Here is a 15,482-nt window from a genome sequence, read left to right as displayed (position 1 = left end):
AGGTTTTATCAATACTTGTATGGCTTAGGCAAGTTTAGGCATATAACTCTGATGAAGAATTCATTTTCTAGTAACAGAGATGGAAGTTAGCATCAGATTCTTTTTCTCTCCTTGCATGAGTATGCCTTTCCTCAGAAATACCAACCCACAAGGTACAAATAAGGTTAGGAGTCATTAGTGCCTCAGCTTTCCTTTTTTGAGGTCCAGTGGAGAATGGAGATGGAAGTGCTAGCTAAAGTGAAGAGATGTACCACAGTTTATTCTCCAGGACGAATGGAGCATGGATGTTCTGTTCATGGACACTTGGGTTGTTTCCAGTTTTAGTTTTTATAAAGATGCCATGAACATTTTTTTGCACAAAAAATAAATAAGGAGTAGAGATGGAGGCTACAGTTTTTTTTTACTCCAGGGAGAATTTAGCTCATGCTGGTGTGGAAGAGGAGGGTTGGGTCCTCTTGGCAGCCTGTGGGTCTCTGAAGGAAATTGGGACTTCCTAGTTGGTTTGGTGGAGTCACTTTCATCAGACATGGAGAAGCATTGACTGACAGTAGAGGTGTGGACATGATGTGGACTGTGTTGTCTCAGGGTCAGCAGCAGTGTGGCCACCAGGCATTCCCTGGTATGGGGCCAGTCAGGGACTGTCCTTCCTGACTCTTATTCAGACTAGCCAGCAACTTGGGGACTAGTCTGCCCAGGCACAAGTCATCACCAGTTCTTTAACAATACACAGTGAAAGCCAATCATGTTCTTATAATTCATAGAATAGATGCCTAAGTTAAAATAGCTACATTATTAAGTTGTTTTCAGCCAGCTTATCAACTGAGTGTTTGTGTGTGATGCCCAGGGAAATAAATTCTAAGTATAAACTGGCATTTGTTCCGGGGAACTAAGTCACGGGGACTCTTATGGGGTGGTTCCCAGAACTCCTACCAAAACACAGCTTTGCATTAATATGGTTGTGCGTTAATAAAGATATTTCACCTAACTTTGTATAAACTGCCTGAAAAAATACTTTTTTTTCCTTCAGTGTTTCTGTTTTTTTCCTACCAGTGTTTTTCCTATTAGTGTATCAGTACATTCTGTTCTTTTAAAAAACTTCTTTTATACTTGAGAAATTTTTGCTACTCTTTATATAATTTTGTTCCTTACTTTTCTCCTCCATATTATGTCATATACATCTTCCATATTGGCATAGTTAAAAACATGTATTCAGATATCATTCACATACTATAAAATTCACCCTTTAAAGGAATATAATTCAGTGTTTTTCAGTATATTGAGGTTGTATAACCATTAACACTAATTCCAGAAGTTTCAGCCCCCCAAATAAACTTCATACCTGCTGGCAGTAACTACCCATTTCCCTCTTTCTCCAACTCCTGGAAACCACCAATCTATTTTCTCTCTATATAGATTTGTCTATTCTGGACATTTCATGTTAAGTGGAATCATATGATATGTAGCCTTTTATGTCTGGCTTCTTTTAGTTAGCACAGTGTTTTCAAGGTTCACCACTCTGTAGTATAAATCAGTACTTCATTTTTTTTGCTTAGGAGTATTCCATTGTATGGCTTAGTCTTTTTTAAACAATATTTTTAGTGAATACATAGTATTGGAAAGGTGGCTATACCATCATTAATATTATTCTATAGAAATTTAAATTTTTTTTTCTCTTACAGATAATGCTGAGGAGAATTACTTGTGTGTGTGTGTGTTTTTTTTTTTTTCTCTCAGATTTAGAATTGTTTTCATAGATAGTGCCTTCTCTCTGTATCCTCACATGGTGGGAAGGAAGAATGAGTTGCCTTGGGCCTATTTTCTAAGGGCACTAATTCCATTCATGAAGGCTCTTCCCTTATGACCTAATTACCTCCTGAAGGTATCACCTCCTAATACCAGTGCCTTGAGCATTAGGATTTTAACACACAAATTTTGGGAGGATATAAATATTCAGCTTATAATGAGAGAGAAAGAGAGAAAAAGAGAGCAATATTAACAGAGGTTGAAAGAGATAGAGAGACCTTCAAAGACAGCGGTGGCCCAGCCAGCAGACATCTTGGAGGACAGTGGATTTGATTTGGGGCCTAAAAGAGAGTAAAATATGGATAGAAAGAATGTAGCAAGGAGGATATTCTTCAGAGAAAGGATTTACAAAAATAGATGTGGCTAGAGTAAATCTAGCATCCATGACAAGTGAGAAGTGAAAGGCAGGACTATAGGGTAAAATTGCAGAAGGGTTAGTAGGCCAAGCTAAAGAGTATAAGCTTTATTCTAAATGTAATTGGAGGCCGGGCCCAGTGGCTCACACCTGTAATCCCAATGTTTGGGAGGCAGAGACAGGAAATTGCTTGAGGGTAGGAATTCAAGACTAGCCTAGAAAACATATGAGACCCTGTCTCTACAAAAAATACTTAGTCAGGCATGGTGTTGTGCACCTCTATAGTCCCAGCTACTTAGGAGGCTGAAGCAGAGGAACGTTTGAGCCCTGGAGGTCGAGGCTGTAGTGTGCTATGATTGCACCACGGCACTCCAGCCTGGGTGACAGAGTGAGATCCGGTCTCAAAAACAAAAAATGTAATGGGAGATTTTGAAACTTGTTGAGAAAAGTAGAGCATGAGAGCAGTGGTATTTTTTTAAAAATTCATATAGACAGCAGGGAGACACATTAGGAGGCTGTAGTAATAATCTTGGAATAGAACTGGGCCTATTCTTAAGAAAGTGGACCTTCTGGAAGTATTACCAAAAACAGAAAACAAGAATCATTTTAAAGAGATAGTTATAGGACGTTATTAAATAAGAATTATAAATAAAATTAAAAAATAAAGTCAACACATCTGCGTTCAAGACCAGGGAATAATGGGGGTTTCATTATTGACAGATTTATTGAAGACAGAAGGGGGGGATCCGATTTGGGGATGATTACAAATTCAGATTTGAGACATACATATTTGGTTGAGACAATAGTAGACTATATTAATACACACTTTCCTAAAACATATGCTGCTTTTGTACATCTAATGAAAATTTGCATTGGGAGTACTTACTCCTTCAAGGAATCTTTGGTCAACCCTTTCGTAAAAATAAGATACTTTATTTTATTTTTATTTTTTTGAGACAAGTTCTTGCTCTGTTACCCAGGCTAGAGTGTAGTGGCATGATCACAGCTCAGTGCAGCCTTCACCTCCAGGGCTCATGTGATCCTCCCACCTCAGCCTCCCAAGTAGTTGGGACTATAGGCACATGCCACCACACCTGGCTAATTTTTGCATTTTTTTGGTAGAAACAGGATTTTGCCATGTTGCCCAGGGTGGTCTCGAACTCCTGGGCTCAAGCAGTCCACCCACCTTGGCCTCCCAAAGTACTAGGATTACAGGTGTGAGCCACTGCGCCCAGCCAAAAGAAGATATTTTAATGTAAATTTTGTTTTATCTCTTTTTTTTTTTTAGACGGAGTCTTACTGTGTCACCCAGGCTGGAGTGCGGTGGTGTGATCTTGGCTCACTGCAACCTCCACCTCCTGGGTTCAAGTGATTCTTCTGCCTCAGCCTCCTGAGTAGCTGGGACAACAGGTGTGTGCCACCACGCCTGGCTAATTTTTGTATTTTTAGTAGAGATGGGGGTTTCACCATACTGGCCAGGCTGATCTCGAACTCTGGACCTCATGATCTGCCCCTCCTCGGCCTCCCAAAGTGCTGTGATTAGTGATTACAGGCATGGGCCACTGTGCCTGGCCGCCCCTTTTTTTTTTTTAAGACAGGGTCTCGCTCTGTTACCCAGGCTGGAGTGCAGTGACACCATCTCGGCTCACTGTAACCTCTGCCTCCCAGGCTCAAGTGATTCTCCTGCCTCAGCTTCCTGAGTAGCTGGGATTACAGGAGTGTGCCACCATGCCTGGCTAATTTTGTATTTTTAGTAGAGATGGGGTTTTGCCATGTTGGCCAGGCAGGTGTCAAACTTGGGGCCTTAAGGGATCTGCTGGCCTCAGCCTTCCAAAGTGCTGGGATTACAGACGTGAGCTACTGCGCTCAGCCTTAAATCATTATTTTATAAATTTTGGTTTTCCTTTGTTGAATTTTTGAAAGCAGCATATACTTGTAATGTTAGCTGATTGTCATCTGTGAAAGCTAAGGAAGAACTTCGCTATGTATCCTTCCTTTATTTCCACCATGGCCCAGAGTCATTTACACTGCAGCCCTAATTCTCAAATTTGGCTCTATATTGGAATTGTCTGGGGAGTTTTAAAAAATACTGATGCCTGGGTTTCATTCTTAGGGCTTCTGCTTTAATTGGCCCAAGGAGCTCTGGGCATTGGGATTTTTAAAAGCTCCCAAGTGATTCTAATGTGTAGCAAACTTTGAGAATCACTGACTCACATCCAACAATCATGGAAGAAAAACATTTTCCTGTGGGCTGAAGCCTAAAGGTAATCAAGATAAATTTAGTGAATATTAGAAAGTTTAAGATGAATGATCCTTGCCTTTGTTTAATTCTGTTTGCTTGTTTTTTCAAATGTTCACAATCAGCGAAGGAATGGTGAGTACTGCGAGGCAGCCAGTATTTCCAAAGAATTCAAGAGATAGAGGTTGCAAATTCTCCAGATTTCTAGCCACTGTGTGGTACTCAGGGGAATGAGTTGGTGCACTCATGGTACCCAGGGAAAGGGTTACAAGAGTGGATGGGGCTCATGGAGATGAGTGCCAGAACTGGGGCCATCCATCCTCAGGAGGTGGCCCTCCCTGGCTTGCTAACCACCTCCTCTGCCTCAAATGTCCAGAAGCTCTGACATTAACACCCACTCATGATGGGTCTGCAATTCCACTACTCAGACACTCAAGCATTTTCCATATTATATTCCTTCCCCCTTTACCAACTGAAAGCAAAAATAAATTATAAAATCTACTGACCCAAAATGCCTTGCTATATTTTATAATTTATCCCATATTCTATATTATTTCCAAATAAATAGGTTACCAAATAGTTTGCCATAATGTCAAAAGCCCTGTTGACGCTAGCTACTAAACAGAGTGAAGAATGGCACCTATGGCAACACCTATAAGCAACAATTTATTTAATCAAGGGAGATTAAATTAACTGCCCAACAGTTATTGTAACTTTATGAGCACAAAAGAATTTAAAATATAGAACAGTTTAATCTGAAGGTTAAATTTCATTACAAAACAATAAAAAAGCCAAACAACTTTCAAAACATATTGACTGGCCAGGTGCAATAGCTCAGGCCTGTAATCCTAGCACTTTGGGAAGCTGAGGTGGGTGGATCACCTGAGGTCAGGTGTTCAAGACCAACCTGGCCAACATGGTGAAACCCCATCTCTACTAAAAATACAAAAATTAACCCCGCATGGTGGCAGGTGCCTGTAACCCCAGCTACTTCGGAGCAAACTCAGGGAGACTTGAAGATTAACCTTGAACAGTTTTTGACTGTTTCAGTGGATTGGACATATCAGTTACTAAACTGAGTTTATGTTTTTGGCTAAGTGATGGAAAACTTTTTATTGCCTAAAAATGACGATCAAAGTTGTAGAAGTTGCTCTAAACATTTTCAAGGTCAGAGAAATACCTAGTCTCACTGAAAGGCTGTGGAAAAAATGAAGCCGTGTTTTGAATAGGCACCATAAGTTTTGCATGCTCTATTTATTTTATTATTATTTTATTTTGAGAGGGTCTTGCTGTCACCGAGGCTGTAGTGGGGTGGAGCAGCCAGAGCTCACTGCAGCGTCAAACTCCTGGGCTCAAGTGATCTTCCTGCCTCTGGCTCTGAAGTAGCTGGGACTGCAGGTGTGCACCACCACGGCCTGCTAATTAAAAACATTAATTTTTTTTTGTTTGGTAGAGACAGGGTCTTACTATGTTCACAGGCTGGTCTTGAACTCCTGGCCTCAAGCAGTCCTCCCACCTTGGCTTCCCAAAGTGTTAGGATTACAGACATCAGCCACTGCACGTAGCCTGCTTGCTCAATTTTAGGGATATAGGCCTGTTGTACTGCAGGAGAATTGCTGGTACCAAAACATGAATCCTACAAAAGGAAATTGCTAAGTAGTAGACATTGCCTGCTGGAAACTCACCTGAAAAAAGTATAATAACATTTGAACACTCCTCCCTATGTGTTTTCCACTGGCCCCAGAGAAAAGTAAAGAGGATACCCACTACCCATTTATTTCCAGAGTGGGTTCATTAACCTCTGAGCACCACTTGACTTGGGCAAGCTTAATATGCAATCAAAAATCTGACTTTAGGTAATACTGGCTGCTCTAAAAGGGGTGGTATTCTTTTCTCTTTCTACTAATGTACAAGTCAGAATGTTTGTTTGTTTGTTTATTTATTTTTGAGACAGAGTCTGACTCTGTTGCCCAGGCTGGAGTGCAGTGGCATGATCTCAGCTCACTGCAACCACCACCTCCTAGGTTCATGTGATTCTCCTGCCTCAGCCTCCTGAGTAGCTAGGATTACAGGCATGTGCCACACCTGGCTAATTTTGTATTTTTATTAGAGATGGGGTTTCACCATGTTGGTCCAGGCTGGTCTTGAACTCCTAACCTCAAGTGATCCACCTGTCTTGGCCTCCCAAAGTTCTGGGATTACAGGTGTGAACCACTGCACCCGGCCCAGAATGTCCATTTAAAAGAATCTTATTCTTTGTATTTCTAAGGTGACAATATGCAAATATAGGAAATAATCAGGCATGAGGAAATGATTTTGACCATCTAATAAATATGGTGTCTAGTCTCTGAGGCAGTGCTAATTATTCTAGTTTTGATAATTTTACATCAGGAAGGAGTAGACAGTTGTCCCACGGCAGTGGAAAAATATTTCTTCTACTCCTATTATATTTCATTCCCTCTACTGCTAAATAAATACAGTCCTGGAGGTAGGTGGTAGGGACAGTTAAAAAAGAAGGGTCAACATGGGAGAGCTGAATGCAAATTTTGGAAACTGAAGCTTATACTATTATTACTTTTCTTTTTTTTTTTTAATGAGACTGTGTCTCGTTCTGTTGCCCAGGCTGGAGTGTAGTGGCGCAATCTCAGCTCACTGCAACCTCCGCCTCTCAGTTAAAACGATTCTTATGCCTCAGTCTCCCGAGTAGTAGCTGGGATTACAGGTGTGCACCACCATGCCTGGCTAATTTTTGTATTTTTAGTAGAGATGGGGTTTCACCATGTGTCCAGCCTGATCTCAAACTCCTGGCCTCAAGAGATCGGCCTGCCTCGGCCCTCCCAAAGTGCTGGAATTACAGGCATGAGCCCCTGCACCCAGCTTATTACTGTTATTATTATTTTTTAATTTAAGAGATGATGTATTTCTGATTATACTGTGGATTCTTTTAAACCTCATCCCCTTGATTTATAGCTTAGCTTTACTTCTCAATATTTTCTTGCCTTTCTGTCTTACAGTTCATCTCTGAGAACATGTTTTGCACTTTTTAAAGGCCCTGCTGACGTTCTCAGTACCATTTTCTTTATAAATTGTTTTTAGTAACCTGGGACATTTTAAAGGTGAGCCATTCTATAGCTTAAGTTTTATCCACAGCTTTATTGCTACCATATTTTATTTGGCAAGTACTATCTTCATGGAAAGTACCAGTTAGACAGAAAAATCTAAATAGATTTTTTTTTTTGATTTCCCAGGAAATTTGATTTCCTTGAGATTAACCTGAGGCTTACTTTAACCTAAAGGTTATTATTAAAATTCTTGCCTGGGTGCAGTGGCTCCATACCTGTAATCCCAGCACTTTGGGAGGCCCAGCGGTCGCATCGCTGGAGTCTAGGAGTTCGAAACCAGCCTGGCAACATGGTAAGACCCCATCTCTCCGAAAAAAACAAAAACAAAACAAAACAAAAAAAAAATTAGCCAGGTGTGGTGATCCATGTCTGTAGTCCCAGCTACTCAGGAAGCTGAGATGGGAGAATCGCTTGAGCCTGGGCGGTCAAGATCGCAGTGAGCCGTGATTGCACTACTGCACTCCGGCCTGGGTGACAGAGTGAGACACTATCTCAAAAAAAAAAAAAAAAAAAAAGAAATTTTTAATAATCATTTCAGTTTTATCATTATGACCAAGCTATACATGATTTAGTACCATAAATGCCATTCTGTTTTTGCTTTGCATATTCATTTGCATAAACTAGGAATTGGGGAGATGAGATCACTTGGCTAAGGATTAAAGGACTAGAAACTCACAGATTCAAAATTTTTACCCAAGTCTGTCTAACACCCCACTGCTTTTCTAAACTCTTTTATTTTTTTCTCCATAAATAATAATCTGGCCTCTTAGAATATGTGATTTCTTATTTTAGAAAATTTAGACATGCGTCCTTTGGTCTAACTAGACTAGCAAAACAAAAGTATTTAAAATACTTGATTTTTAAAAATCGGTAAAACTTATCCTTCAGATGACCTCTCCCCCTACCATTTTAGAAAGGACACTTGAAACAACCTGTGTGGTTTGCAGTTGTTTCGGTAAAATGTGATTCACAACAATGACTCTGCAGTATCTTGTGAAAATGATTTGCCTTAAGGCTGGAAAGGGTAGATCCATATCTTAAAATTGACTTTGAAATTGTAGACCATTTGGTTCTTTCTTGCCTCATTGTAATTTGGCCTGTTGAGCAGTATAAGTATGTAAAATTCAGTACTTTCCATCTTTTTGTTGTAGATCATTTTGAACTCAATGCATAAGTACCAGCCAAGGGTGCACATCATTAAGAAGAAAGACCACACAGCCTCATTGCTCAACCTGAAGTCTGAAGAATTTAGAACTTTCATCCTTCCAGAAACAGTTTTTACGGCAGTCACTGCCTACCAGAATTAACTGATGAGTGTACAGTTCACAATTTAGTTCCTGCATAAGAGAAGGATTTAGGAGGTTCTTATATTTTCTTGGAGAGAAGTGATATCCCAGTACTCAAAATGGATGTTCACTTTGCAGAGAGCTATTGAGTTTCAGTGCTAGGACCTCTAAGAGTGTGTTGAGTGACTGTGTATTACACTGTATTTTCTAGAATCTCTACATTATGGGTCAAGTTTTTAACTGCCCACTTCCCCACCCACACCTACCCCAATCTGCCTTCTCACATTTTCTTCTCCAGAAGGTTACTTGCCTCCTTTTCCTCCTCCTGGTAACATGTATAACCATGTTCTTGTTGCTTCATAAAATTTAAAAGTTCAGTTTTTCTGCTGAATTAAACACACCTATTCTATCCAACTGCCCAAACTGCTGATACTTTAGATATTTTGTGAGGTTTTATTCAGCTATAATTTAGGGTGAGATAATTCTGGTAAAATGATTTTAAATGTCTTTTTAGATAGTAAACTATAGTATGTAACATCAAGATATCTAATTTATATTATTGAGTTATATGCAGGGTGAGTATCCCTAATCGAAAAACCCAAAATCTGAATGCTCCAAAATCTGAAACTTTTTGAGCATTGACATGACACTCAAAGGAAATGCTCACTGGAGCATTTCAGATTTTAGATTTGTGGATTAAGGATGCTTAACCTGTAAGTATAATGCACATTCCCAAATCTGAGAAAATCTGAGATCCAAAATACTTTTGGTTCCAAGCATTTCAGATAAGGGATACTCAACCTACATTTTTTACTCTCTGTTGTACATCACATTTAAAATTAATAAATTTTTGGCCAGGTGCAGTGGCTCATGCCTGTAATCCCAGCACTTTGGGAGGCCAGGGTGGGTGGATCACCTGAGGTCAGGAGTTCGAGACCAGCCTGGCCAACATGGTGAAACCCTGTCTCTACTAAAAATACAAAAGTTAGCTGGGCCTGGTGGCACATGCCTGTAGTCCCAGCTACTCGGGAGGCTGAGGCAGGAGAATCGCTTGAACCTGGGAGGCAGGGGTTGCAGTGAGCAGAGATCTCACCACTGCATTCCAGCCTGGGCGACAAAGCGAGACCCCACCTCAAAAAAATAAAATTAAAAAAAATAAACTTAATGCATTTCTTCATCCATAGGGCTTATTCCAACTTAGTAAATATTTATCAAGGCCATACTAAGGGCTATGTACTGATAGACATTTCCCATACATTTTCTTCTTTTGTGCCCAGCGTAAGCTTAAGGGGCTGTGGCAGTACTACGCTCCATAGGTGAGGAAGCTGAAGCTAAGAGAGGGTGAGTAACTTCTCTCCATCAGAAAGGACCAGAAATAGAATTCCTTTTCATACACTTCAATATAAAAGGAAGTCACATGCTCCGTTTACTTGACACATTCAGTTGTTTATGACCTCTCTGTGTCTTTGTATCTTGTGTTTGTTTCATTGGTCATAGGTAGCCAAGACTACTGCTCTCCTCTTGTCTTGATGTTGTTAGGTTTTGGGTTCTGAGTGAGTAGCTATTAGATGCTGCCTGGTAGATGGCTCAGAGTCCAGAGGAGGATGGTCACCTGGAAGCGAGGTGGTGTGGAGACCCTCGGGACAGGCAAGATGAAGCTGACATCACAGCCAGCCTCACAGAAATGAGGTAGTAGAAGCCTGGAAAAGGGATGTGGGCAGATGGCCAGAGTGGATGTATGTAAGGCTTACTCTCCTAGGATTTCTATACAACTTTGAGTAGATTTCATTTCACCAGTGGCTGCTGTTTTCCTTACCTAGCTATTAGGGCCAAGAACTGACCAGACCATTTTAGGGGATTGCTGTGAAGATCAAATGTAGTTGTGTGTGTAGGCTTGTTTAAGCCTTTGGAAGCTGTAAGGTGCTCTGTAAATAAGACGTGGTTATGATGGGGCTATCTCAGAAATGTCAAAAAAAGAATTTGTCACCATTTGTATTTTAAAATTTTAGTGGTGTATTAGTTAATGAGATAGAGAAATTAATGCATAATTGCTATCATGCTGATGATCTTATAGTAAAGGCAAGTATTGTAACCTTTGAATTATCTCCAAGATCATAACACAGGAGTGGAAACATTCAGAGAATGCCCAAACTAAAAGTTGGGGTTTAGATGGAAGCCTACAAAGGCCTGAAGCGCTAATGCTGTTTCTTTGCAAATCTGGAACACTGAAACCAGCAATCCTGTTTTTAATTTATTTGAGGGCACGTGGGATGCAAATATCATAGGCTCCAAAAAGATTCCAAAAACATTCCATTCATTTATACTAATTGATTTCATAGCTTTTATAATATACACCATGCTAATATATTCTAACAATTTAAATTTATGCTCACTTAAGAAACCTTATTGATGTTTGGAAATAACATAGACACTTGTCATGTGGAAACCTCATTGCTTTTATCATAATTCTTTTTAAAGAGGGCCAAAGCAGGAGGAGGTAAATTGTTTTCCTCTTTATTTTTTTTAGTGAAAATTATAGAGATGAACAAAAATTAAAGTTTCTAGTAAACTTTAAAGTATAATGCCTGAGATTTGGTTTAATAGGTGAGAGAGCAAGACTGCGTAAGTGTTGGCGGGACCTCTCATATCATAGGACGGTCTTATTTACATAATACGAATAACAGCTAACATTTGGGTACTTACTATGTGCAAGACACCACTTGAATTCATAATCACACTTGATCTTCTCAATGATATCGTGAGATAGGAACAATTGTATTTTTATTCAGCATCGTACAGTTGGGGTAATTGAGGCACTAGTTAAATAAGTCATCTGAAGTGACCTTGCTCCTCCCATTGCAGATTTGAATTCAGGTGGTTAAGATTCAAGAGGGAGTGCCCTTAACCCCTAAGCTGTGAGTGCCTGCTGTTCCCAAAGAAGCAGAACTTCACCCTCTCTCAGCTCTTGGCCCTGATAGACTCTGAGACATCAATTTTAGAGAGCATCAACTCTTTATGCTCATTTTTTTTTAAACAAATGTGCTGCTCACACCACACATCAGCAAGTGTAACACGATGATGATCATCCTAAACAGGAGGTCAGAATATCTGCTAGTACTCGCTGTATCCAACTGGAACCACATCTTTAATGACATTTTCTAATTTAATTCTTGTTTTTCTACTCGATTTTTTATTTAGAACAAATTTCAGATATACAAAAAATGAAACAAATAGTAAAATGAACCTCACATGCCTTCCACCCAGATTCAGCAATGCCAAATTTGCTTTTCCCCCAAATTTTCTCTTTCCTTCCTCTTCCTCTCTATATGCAAACATACTTCCCCTCTTCCTTCCCATTTTCTTCCCTCCCCTTTTGAAACTAAGTTGCATGCTTCCTGAGACTTCTAAACACTCTGTAAGCCTATTCTGACAATTAGAACATTATTTTTATAATCCCAACATCTTTATCACAGCTAAGAAAATTTATAAGAATTTGTTCTTTATATCACCTAATATTCAGTTTATATTAAAATTTTCAGGATAGACCAACTGCCCCTAAACCCCCTCTGAACTAGGATCCAGCTAAAATTCATGGTTTGGATTTATTACTTTTAATTTAGAAAAATCTTTCCACATTTTTTTCTAAACACCTCATTTAATTCTGACACTGTATGCCTTGAAGAAGGCCCCACGAGTCCCATTTTGTAGAATTAGAAACTGAGGTCAGAGTGGTTAAGACATTCACCCAAGGTCACAGATCTGGTAAGTGACAGAACCAGTACAAGGTTTTGATCTTCTGGGTTTTAATTCCTCCTTTTTGGTGGCATCATAATAGATTGCAAGGCCAAGGAAGTGGTGACCACTGACAGTGTCATCGAAAACTGACTTTGAAAATATGGGTAATGAAAATAGCTGAAGATAATAATACGCACATTTCAACATAAGTTGCTCCTTTGGCAAAGGTTTATTTCTAATTAATATCATAAATGGGATCAAAATCCAGCCATCAGTGCCCAGCTATTCTTTCTTGCATTAAGTATAATATTAATAAGATTAATATGTCATTTCATTGCTGAGTAACCACAATGGAAGTGACTAAATTCAGAATTAATTTTCTCATAGATTCTACTATGTCTGAGTTTATTTTTCGATATCCACCTTTAAAACCATAGCCCCTTGCACAAAGCCATATGCCTTTAAAATAGAAATCCAGTTAATAGTCAACAATTTGATTTGGTATCCTAACAGGCCAGTTTTGCAAATGGTTTATAAACCTCGTAAGACCAATCAAAATTCCTCTTGTAGGTGCTCAGTAAACATATGTGCAGTGAATAAATGAACTTGTGGGTTGGCATTTTCATTAGTCCTATGTCATTTTCTAAAGTTATCCTTGACTCTTTCTAGGCCTTCTACCATCTACTGTGACTTCACTGCTCTACCAAGTTTGTGTAGTAATTTTCCTATAGCATACAATAATGTATCCTGCAGCATATAATAGCCTATAACATATAATAAATATATAGGAAATAAAGTAAATATATACTAGGTATAGTATTAGAATTTTTTCACATACAAAGAACAAAGAGGGAGGAGAAAAGAGAGGAAGATTTAAAAATTCACATTTAGGACCACTTTCATATATCTTAAGCTTTGGATATGACTGCTATTTTTATGTCTATTGAAATCCAAGTCAGAGTTTCCAAAACAATTTGTGAAAAACTTCCTCATTTATTGTGCCTTGTAGTTTCATTTATAAGTAATGAAAGTGGGACCTTTTATTTGCTATTTCTTTCTCTGGTTTTTGCAAGGGAATGATTGCATTTCTTTACATTATTGGATAAAAGCTAAATACATTACACTTTCAACAAACTATTTTATAATTTAAGATTGAAAGGTCATGCATTGTTTTTGAGCAGGCAGACCATTGCTGTAGAGTTGAAGTGTAGGTCAAGTTTCATTTTTAAATGCCTTTGGTCAGATATTTTCCTGCTAATTGGAGAAATGGTCTCTGAGGGCCAATTTTACCTTGTGGCTGGGAACCCTAGCTGGATTCAGAGTCCAGTGATATTATACAGAACAACCACTGCAAAAGGTCCCCTTCTCTTTTGCACAGCAGGTAGTGTCAAAATCTGCCCTCCACACATTTACTTAAAGATAATAGAGATGCCAAAAGAGTGAACATTTTGGTTAGGAATTGCATTATGTTCTATATTATTTAAATACATGAAAAAGCAGGGTTGTGTTTTGGACTGAATTAGTAACTTGGATATATGTAGACCCACACTAAACAGTAGCATTTCTTAAGCACATACTACTAACCTTGCTTAGTGTTTTCTCTTGATGAAGTGAGAAACATTGCTGCTTTTAAGAATTTGTGAGTTATAAAGAAGCCATATCTCTGGTTTCTGTACATACAATGTTTGGTAGCTGATTTATTTTTGAGACTTCTTTTAGGATTACTTTTGATAAACGTGATTTGTTCAACAACATTACAAGATGCAGGCATCCTCTATTCGGACATGAATGAAATGGTGTCCACCTGAAATCACTGTCTGTAACTCAGCTTCTTTTTCTCATCAGTTCTCAGTGTTTTTTTTTTTTTCAGTTATCCCAAATTTCATAAAGAGATGTAAAACTACACCTTAAAAATGAATTTCTGTATAGCTACTGGTCTTTATTTAAATATTGTGGCATAAACTCTATGTCTGACCTTTTAAAACGTATGATTACCTAGAATGTTAAAATTTTGCTATTTAAAAATTATTTTATCTTAAAATTTAAAAAGTGAAATGCTTTTCCTGTAAATTCATGGTTTCACTTAGTTCATAATTGGTGAAAAGGTGAGATCATATTTCTGACTGTGCTTGTTCTTGAGGTAAAGCTCAACAAATACTTGTGGGGTTCTTAATTGTGGACACTCTAGTAGATTCAGAGTCTAGTGACAGTGGGCTACAAGGAACATGGTGGGCTCACAAAGAAGTTTAATCCACAATCTCTGTGCTGCTAATTATTAATACCCCATAAAAGCTGTTCAGGAATGTGTAGCATCAACCCAGAGCTCCCATACAATTTTAGTGATAATAGATCCATTCAGTTTTTTTTTGCTGTCACGTGCAAAAGCAATTATTTTCCCTAGAATTAGATTAAATAGAAATAGAGAAAGTAATTGTTTTGAATTCTTTTTCTAATTAGTGCACTAAAATTAAATCATTGCTGTAGCTAATTGGTAAATCTGGGTGTATAAGAGCACCTGTACTATTCTTGCAACTTTCCTGAAGTTTGAAATTATATCAAAATGTAAAGAAATTTCCACTGATACTCCTAGGAATTATGAAAGTTGGATTAAAATGATATTAGCAGTAGATAATTCTCATAATGAGAGAAAATTCGAAGACATCTGAAAACTCATGTTGAATTTAAGTTACTCCTTTGCTCAAAGTATGGCAGTATTATCAGATATGGTGACACATCAATTGAGCAACACGTGTTTTGAGAGTATGTATTTTCTGTGGTATTAGAGCACTGGAGAATTTAAGATAACTTCTCAATCATATTCTGAGCCAATAGTCTTTATCTTTTGAAAGAAGAACAAGAAATGTGATTTTCAAAATTCTTTTCAGAGATAAAATATGTCAAAAGTCCATCTTTAATCATTAGAACAGATAGGTAATACCTTC

General features: G+C 38.5%; 1 pseudogene; it reads left to right on the top strand.

The window, feature by feature from the left end:
* LOC100418730 (T-box 20 pseudogene) overlaps positions 8,671–15,482 on the top strand; it is a 40,189-nt pseudogene continuing 33,377 nt past the window's right edge.

Source organism: Homo sapiens, chromosome 12 (assembly GCF_000001405.40).
Source record: "Homo sapiens chromosome 12, GRCh38.p14 Primary Assembly".
Classification (NCBI taxonomy): Eukaryota; Metazoa; Chordata; class Mammalia; order Primates; family Hominidae; genus Homo; species Homo sapiens.
This window is presented reverse-complemented; position numbering and strand designations above follow the sequence as displayed.